We start from the raw sequence: 9,139 nt of genomic DNA, 5'->3' as shown, positions 1-9,139 counted from the left end.
AATCACTTGAACCCGGGAGGCAGAGGTTGCAGTGAGCCAAGATCGCACCATTGCACTCCAGCCTGGGCGACTGAGAGAAACTCTGTCTCAAAAAAATAAAATAAAACTTTATTCATATAATGGAATATTATTTGGCAGTACAGGGGATGAAGTTCTAATACATGCCACAACATGAACGAACCTTGAAAACACATGCCAAGTGAAAGAAGCCAGTCACAAATGATCACACAGTATACGATGCCATTTATATGAAATGTCTGTAACAGGCACATCGGGAAAGACAGGAAACAGTGGTTGTTCAGGGCTCAGAGGATGGAGGAGGGAGGTGTGGGGAATGGGGAGAACTGCTAATGGGCACAAGGTTCCCTCTGGGGGCAGGGCAAAAATGTCCTACAGTTAGATTGCAATAATGGGCATGTAACTATGAATGTATTAAAATCCATTAAAATGTACATTTTAAATGGGTGAATTGTATGGTTTCTTAATAAAGCTGTTAAATTAAAAAAATAAACTAGCAAATGGAAATACACATGGTAAAACATCATTTAAAAATCATCTACTAATAAAGACAAAAGCATTATGTCATTACATACCAATTAAATTAGCAAACATTAAACACAAATAATAAACATATGGTCAAATGGCTTCCCATTTCAGATGCGCATCCACAACCTTTCCAGTGGTGTGTCAGGCCGACACGCTCTTTTGTCTTCATTCCATCACCTGGATTAACTCTCTTCCTTTCTCTATTGAGGCCACATTTGACTTCAAATTGTTTCTGGAAGATCCCACACCTTCTCCTGTGTCAAAACCTGTATGTACGCTGATTCTCCCCCACCTGACTGATTTCTTCATCACTGCTGTCCAGTCTTTGCTCAAATTTTGCCTTCTCAATGAGACTTCTTCTGAACACCTATTCAGAACTGCAACCAAACTGGGTGTGGTGGTGTGTACCTGTAGTCCCAGCTACTCGGGAGGCTGAGGCAGGATGATCACTTGAGCCCAGAAGTTTGAGTCCAAGCTGGACAACAATGCTGTCTCTTAAACAAAAAACCAAAACAGTAACAAAAATCCTGCAACCTGCTCTCCTTCATTCCCTATGTCCTATTCTGTAGCACTCATTCCTCGTTGAATCAATTTTTAAAAACATGAATAAAAGCTGAATTTATCAAAATGCTTTCTCTGGGACGGGCATGGTGACTCACGCCTGTAATCCCAGCACTTTAGGAGGCCAAGGCAGGTGGATCACTTGAGGTCGGGAGTTCAAGATCAGCCTGGCCAACATGGTGAAACACTGTCTCTACTAAAAATACAAAAATTAGCTGAGTGTGGTGGTACCCGCCTGTAATCCCAGCTACTCAGGAGGCTGAGGCACAAGAATCGCCTGAACACAGGAGGCGGAGGTTGTGATGAGCTGAGATCGCGCCACTGCATTCCAGCCTGGGTGACAGAGTGAGGCTCTGTCTCAAAAAAAAAAAAAAAAAAAAAAAAAAAAAGCTTTCACTGTATCTGTTGGAATAATAATTTCCCTTCACTCTGTTAGTACAGTGAATAATTTTCAAATCCTAAATTGTATATTCCTAGGATAAGCCCACCTTAGCTATTATATATAATTTTAAAATGTTGCTGTATTTAGTTTACAATGTTTTGTTTTGGAATTTTGCTTCTTTGCTTATGAATATGGTTGGCTTATATTTTGTTCATACAATCTTGTCACAATTTGATGTCAAAGTTGTGCTAGGCTAATCTTGAGGGTTTCTCTGGAATTTCACTCATGGTAATAGAGCCATTCAGATTTTTTCTATCATCTCGAATCAGTTTTGGTTAATAATATTTCAATACGAATTTAGTCATTTCACTTCAAAATTCAAATGTAATAGTATAAATTTTCTCATGTCTCTTTATTTCTTAAGCATGTGTTCATTTCCTGTACTTTTTTATTTGCTCATTTTCTCTTCTTACTTTTGAGTCAATGCTGAGAGATATGTCAATTTTATTACTCTTTTAAAAAACCAAAATTTGCTTTTGTTGATCCTTTCTATTATAGCCATGTTTTCTATTACTTTTTTTTTTTTAGACAGAGTTTTGCTCTTGGCAGTTGCCCAGGCTGGGTGCAATGACACAATCTCGGCTCACTGCAACCTCTGCCTCCCAGGTTCAAGCGATTCTCCTGCCTCAGCCTCCCGAATAGCTGGGATTACAGGCGTGCGCCACTGCGCCTGACTGACTTTTGTATTTTTAGTAGAGATGGGGTTTCACCATATTGGTCAGGCCGGTCTCGAACTCCTGACCTCAAGTGATCCATCTACTTTGGCCTCCCAAAGTGCTGGGATTACAGGTGTGAGCCACTGTGCTCAGCTGATAATTTTTGCTTTTAATTTTATTTATCTTCTTCTACTGGCTTTGGCTTATTCTGTTCTTAGGTTGACTACATTGCTCATTAAGACTTTCTTCTTTTCTAGTACAAGCATTTAAAGCTTTAAGTTTTTCTCCAACATTCATTCTATACTATTAACTAAACTACAGACTTTTTTGAATTTCCCCAGATTTTTCACTAACGTCCTTTTTTATTCAGGTCCAGCCTAGGTACCGTAGCGAGACCCTGCCACTCTTAAAAAAACAATAGGAGGCTGGGTGTGGTGGCTCACGCTTCTAATCCCAATTTAATTTGAGAGGCCGAGGAAGGAAGATTGCCTGAGCCCAGGGGTTTGAGATTAGCTTAGGCAATGCGGCAAAACCCCAGCTCTACAAAAAATACAAAATTTACCAGGTTGTGATGGAGTGCACCTGTAGTCTCAGCTTCTCAGGAAGCTGAGGTGGGAGGATTGCTTGAGCCCAGGAGGTGGAGGTTAAAGTGAGCCGGATTGAGCCGCTGCACTCCAGCCTTGGCGAAAGAGCGAGACTCTGTCTCAAAACAATAACAACAAAAACCCACCAGGAAACCACTTTATTCAGCAGTTAAGTCTCCTTAGTTGCCCCCAGTCTGTGACAGTTCCTCACTTTCTTGTCTTTAATGACCTATTCATTTATGAAGAGCACTAGTCAGATGTTTTATAAAGTGTACTCCTATTTGGGTTTGCCTGATACTCTCTCATAATTAGATTGAGATGATGGATGCTGGAAAAGAATACCACAGAGGTGACATGCCCTTCTCATCTAATGATGTATGAGTATATGCTCTCCACATGACTCATCCCTGGTGATGGAAACATTCATCAATTGGTTCCAGTGGGATCTGCCAGGTTTCTATAGTATAAATCACCTGTTTTTCCTTTCCATACTCTATTTGTCAGGAGATACTCACTGGATCCAGCCCAAATTCAAGAAGAAAGAGGTACCAAAATTAGCAGACATGTTCAAACCACCAGGGTTAAGTACTACAAAGTTGAGGGGAGATGCTTTGAAGCAATGCAAATATCCTCTTTTTCAAAGTTTTACTCACTAATTTTAGCAAAGAACATTCATATATGTTTGACCCATTATTTAGAAGTGTATTACTCTAGAGTTCCAAATTATGTAGCTTCCAGGTTTCTTAGAAGTACAACATACACACTGAAAGTAAAAAAACTTTAAGCGTAGCAACTCAGCGAGTGTCCTCGAAGTAGCAACAGCCAGGTAATGGCCAACAGCTGAAGAAACAACACATTATCAGAATCCTAGAAGCCACTCTTGTGCCCTCCAAATTACTAAACCTTCCCTTTTCCCTAAAAGTAACCATTATCTCAACGTTTAGGCCTGTAAATAGTTTTGTCTTTTCTGAACTTAATATAAGTGGACTCATACAGTGTGTACTCTTCTGTGTCTAGCTTCACCCACTCAACACTGTGCTGCTGCATGCAGTTGTGTACGTTGATTTGCATTGCTAGATGAGCTTCTACTGCATGACCATACACAATGCATTCATCCATTAGGCTACAGACACATACTTCCAGACACAGGCTACACACTACAAACACTCTACTCTAGGGTGGAGCTGCATGGTAGCAGGTGTGCATGCACACGTTCAGCTTTATTAGGAAAGGCCAGTTTCCCACCAGCAGTAAAGAGTTCCAGCTGCCCCACATCCTTAACGACGCTTCATATTGTTCGTCTTTTGGATTTTAGCTTTTCTGAAAGGTGGGAAACAGCTTTGTTGTTATTTTTTAAATGAATTTCTAACAAATTCACTACAGAGAATGTGGTCTAACCAATACTTTGAAATATATTGAAACAAGTCTAATGGCCCAAATATGGTCAGTTTTCCTGAATGTGCTAAATGTGCTTGAAAAATATTTTTGCTTCCCATTTTTCCCCACCCCAATATAGCATAGGCTCCATGTTGTATACATTAATTAAATAAAGCTTGTCAACCACGTGTATTTACCTATTCTATACTAATTTTTAAATCTGCTTGATCTATCAAATACCAAACGTTATATTGGAATCTCTCACTATGATTGTGGATTTTCTGCCAATTTTTGCTTTATATATTTTGGGGCCCACATTTTAACGGACACATTACAGACTCATGGTCCTTTTTCTTCGGTAAAGCATTTTGCCATAAAATCTATCACTTCTGACATTAACAAAGCTTTATTTACTTATTTATTTGTGTATACCAGCGTTTTTCTGTTAGGATTTGATTGGTATATCTTTTTCTTCCCGTCCTTTTAACTTTTCTGTATCTTTGTTGTTAGGTGTCTCTTTAAGTATCATATAGGTAGATTTTCTTTCCAAATCCAGTCTTTTAACCATTGTATTTTTAACTAGAGCATTTAATCCAATTACACTTAATTCTAATTATTGATACACTGAGATTTACGTTTATCATCTTATATTAGACTCATTTGCCCTGTATTTTTTATTCTTTTCTCTCCTCTCCTGCTTTCTGTAGTAATATAGTGAACAACTGATGCCATACATTACTCTCAAATTTTGTCTGAAAATGTCTTTATTTCACCTATATGTATGGAAGATGTTTTGCTGTGTATAACATTCTGGTTAATGGTTATTTTCTCATAGAACACTGAAGGTATAAGAAAACACGATTGGTATGAAAAAATAAGCTATTACTTGCTAATTTTGGACCTTTGCAAATAATTCCCCACCAGCTTTGATTTTTAATTCATTACGTGATTAATTTGTAGAACTTCTACTTAGTTTGTTTCCGTATTTTCTTGATAATTTTCATGGTATCTTCCTTACTTATATTTCCAATCTCTTTTTTTATTTCTTAAAAACATGTTAAACATGGATATTTTGTATTTTCTCTAATTTCTCAAAAATCTCAAGCATCTGAAGATCAAATTCTATTGTCTGTTCTTTTTATCCTGCCAGTTCTTTGTTCTCTGTACATCTGTGATTTGGGCTATGCGTTCATACTTTCCTACTGAAAGCACTAGTTGAAGGTGTATTACTCTGGAGAAGACGTGCATCTGCAAGTGACTGGAGGCACAACCATCTGTCACTGCTTCAACTGTCACAGCTAAGTGTTTAGCTTGGGCTTTTTCAGACCATCCAGGTAAATGTGAATTCAGGGGTATCTGATGGTGATAAATCCAACGGTCCCAATGTTTTTTTTCCTCCTTTATCTACCTAGCATTGTTGCTCTAGATAGGCAACCTTTCTTGCTGTCTTCAACAAGTAGTGGTGGTGGTGGTGGGAGGTATGCTAGGGTGGTTGGGCTGGCTGAATTTAATTCTAGTATTCTTACACTGAAGGTTTAGTGACTGTCTGAGTCCCCACTTGATGCAGCTGGGGTCTGTCACCATGAGACCAAGAAAGGGACACAATAGAAGGGAATATGCACCTAGCTTATCAAATTTCCTCAGGGCAAAGCCAGCTTTAGTGTTCTGCTTACTATTCTGAGTTCTGAACCCGGTGTACAGTCTCTATGAAATCTTTCTTTCTACCTTATCCAGACTTGCATTTATCTTCATTTATATTACATTCACAATTTTTAGTTATCACTAGAAGGAGACATACAGTGTGGACATATTGTCCACTGAATGGTTGGATAAAAAAAGTCCCCTAATGTTGGCTTTTTGGTGCTTTCTCTCTTCTCTTCTTGTGAAATCCTGACAAAGCCTGATTTGGTGTTTTTTGTTTGTTTGTTTTCTAGCTTTTAAATATTGCAGAGCTATTCTATTGTAACCATTTTAAAATTTTCATTAATTATTGTCTTTATCTCTATTTCTCCCTGTCTTCTTTCAGTTTAGTCTGTTCCTTAAGATTTTTAATGCAAAGCTTAGTTATTATTAGTATTCTTCTTTAAGCCTATATAAATTCCCTACTAAAAACTGCTTTAGTTGCAGCCTACAAAATTTATATGTATTTTTATGACCACTTAATTCTATTTCTATATTTCTATTTAATTTTGTTAACCCATGCATTATACTGAAAGTATGTGTAAGTTTCCTGTAGACCAAGGCAGGTGGATTGCTTGAGCCCTGGAGTTTGTGACCAGCCTGGACAACATGGCAAAATCCTGTCTCTACATAAAATACAAAAATTAGCCAGGCATGGTAGTATACCACCTGTGGTCTCAGTTACTTGGGAGGCTGAGGCAGGAGGATCATCTGAGTCTGGGAGGCTGAGGCTGCAGCGAGCCGTGATTCCACCACTGCACTCAGCCTGAATGACAGAGCCGAGACCCTGTATCAAAAAAAAAAAAAAAAAAAGAAAAGAAAAGAAAAGAAAAGTTTCACAGACGAGTTCTGCATTTTTCGGCTTTTTGTTATTGACTTCTAACTTAGCTGGCATCCAGGCTGGACAGTATGCTCATAATCCATTGTATTAATTTTTTAAGGGCAGCTTTATGACTAGCATGTGGTTAATTTTTATGAGTAATGGAAAGAAATCTGCATTCAATATTTGGTGGGCTCCACATACAACCATTAGACCAAGCTTATTAACTTAGTTGTTCAAATCTCCCCACCCCAATACAGCATAAGCTCCATGAGAGCAGTTACTTTTGTTTGTTTTGTTTATGCTACATCTCACTGCCTAGAATAGTGTCTGAAATGTATCTGTTCTCTGCTACATCACTTGTGTAAAACAGTGTCTGGCATACATGAAGCACTAAATAAATAACTGCTTAATGAATGAACGACTAAAGGCTTCTCATCCTGTTAGTTATTGCATTTGATTTTTAAAATGTCTTACCAGCAGGTTGGCTTTGTCTGCTACTCCCCCATTGTTTTCTCGATCTTTTCTTTAAATGTTTTGTGACTAATTTAAATGAGCTCATGATTGGACTTTTCATGTTTAAATTACTGGTCCATCTGGAATTACTTTGATACAAAAAGTAAGGTAGGGACTCACCTTTATTTTCTTTTCACCTTTATTTAATTTCTTTTAACATGGGCAAAGAGATATCCTTACACATTCACTGAATAATCCAGTTTTATTCTAATCATAAAAAGTGCTACTTTCATTATATTTTAAATTCAACAAGATGTTTCTGCCTATTTGTGGATGTTCAGTTCCATTGATCTTCCTATTTTTGTGTCACTATCACACTGTTGTAATTACTGGTAATGTATGTATTTTAAATACAGTAAGATAAGAACTTACACACAAGTTCAATTTTATTGCCAATTCAGTTGCAATAAACACTCATGCATATAGAGCATGGTCTGTAAATACAACATTTTACAAAAAGAGTTTCTTGAATAAATGTCTGATTCCAGGTCTAGTGCAAAAAAAAAGTCAAAAACATCTTTTCAGGCCAGAGTAAAAGAAAACTTTCAGAATACTAGGATCAAAGGTATGAGGAGTCAACATAAAGAGGTTCCATTATCACAAGATAGGAAAAGTTGTGGATCAATAAGCATAATAATTACAATGACCTAAAACATGTCAGTTATGTTTAAATCTGTGAGCACAAATTGATACTTTAAAACCTAAACAAATAGGCCAGGTGCAGTGGCTCACACCTGTAATCCCAGAACTTTGAGAGGCTGAGGCAGGCAGATCACTTGAGGTCAGGAGTTTGAGACCAGCCTGACCAACATGGTGAAACCTCATCTCTACTAAACATACAAAAATTAGCTAGGCGTGGTGGCACATGTCTGTAATCTCAGCTACTCGGGAGGCTAAGGCACAAGAATCACTTGAGCCCAGGAGGTAGGGGTTGCAGTGAGCTGAGATGGCGCCAGTGCACTCCATCCTGGGTGACAGAGCGAGACTCCGTCTCAAAAAATAAACAAAAAACAAAAACAAAACTAAACAAAAACCTCAACTCTGTTGGTTATCTCTGGCAGGTGCTAGACAGAGATATGGCACAGTTTATAATTTCATCTATCTTTCCAATATGAGCTGAGGATCAGTAAATAACAAACAGAAGTGGTGATGCAGGGGGAAAGTTTCTCTTTATAGAGGTATTCCAACAAATAAATAAATAAATAAGGAATGGTATACTTAGACTGTAATATTTTTGCAATCCCTAACGAAATAACAAATCTAGACGATAAATTACTACTACAATAAAAAAGAGACATGCACTTCATGATGGATATATACAGCACAACCCATGGTGAATGTCCCCGCCCCAAAAAAACTAGATCTCATAATCCTCTACATCTAATTAATAATTTACAGGAATTATAGGAACAAAGGAATTTAAGTACACCATGGGGATGTAAGATACAAAAATCAGACAGCGAGGAATTCTACAAATGACCTAGTTTTGTTTTGTTTTGTTTTAAGTTACAAAGAAAAGAGGGCGATTAAAATTAGACTTCAGCTGGGTGCGGTGGCACACACCTGTAATCCCAGCACTTTGGGAGGCCGAGGTGGGGGGGATAGCCTGAGGTCAGGAGTTCGAGACCAGCCTGGCCAACATGGCTAAATCCTGTCTCTACTAAAAACACAAAAATTAGCTGGGCATGGTGGCAGGTGCCTATAGTCCCAGCTACTCAGGAGGCTGAGGCAGGAGAATCACTTGAACCCAGGAGGCAGACGTTGCAGTGAGCCGAGATTGCCGCACTGCCCTTCAGCCTGGGTAAGACTTCTGGGTAAGACAAGGTGAGACTCCGTCTCAAAAAAAGACAATAAATAAAAAATAAAATAAAATTAGACTTCAGAAATATATTTACCAATTGCAATATATAGACCATATTTACACCCTGATTCAAAAAAGCCAATAGAAAAACAAATG

At 38.1% G+C, this 9,139-nt stretch overlaps 1 protein-coding gene across 5 annotated transcripts in view; it reads right to left on the bottom strand.

The window, feature by feature from the left end:
• WWC2 (WW and C2 domain containing 2) overlaps positions 1-9,139 on the bottom strand; it is a 221,521-nt gene that overhangs the window by 88,023 nt on the left and 124,359 nt on the right. The window lies entirely within an intron of this gene.

Source organism: Homo sapiens, chromosome 4 (genome assembly GCF_000001405.40).
Source record: "Homo sapiens chromosome 4, GRCh38.p14 Primary Assembly".
In the NCBI taxonomy this organism is placed as follows: Eukaryota; Metazoa; Chordata; class Mammalia; order Primates; family Hominidae; genus Homo; species Homo sapiens.
The sequence above is the reverse complement of the archived record's forward strand: the minus strand, read 5'-3'. Positions and strand labels throughout refer to the sequence as shown.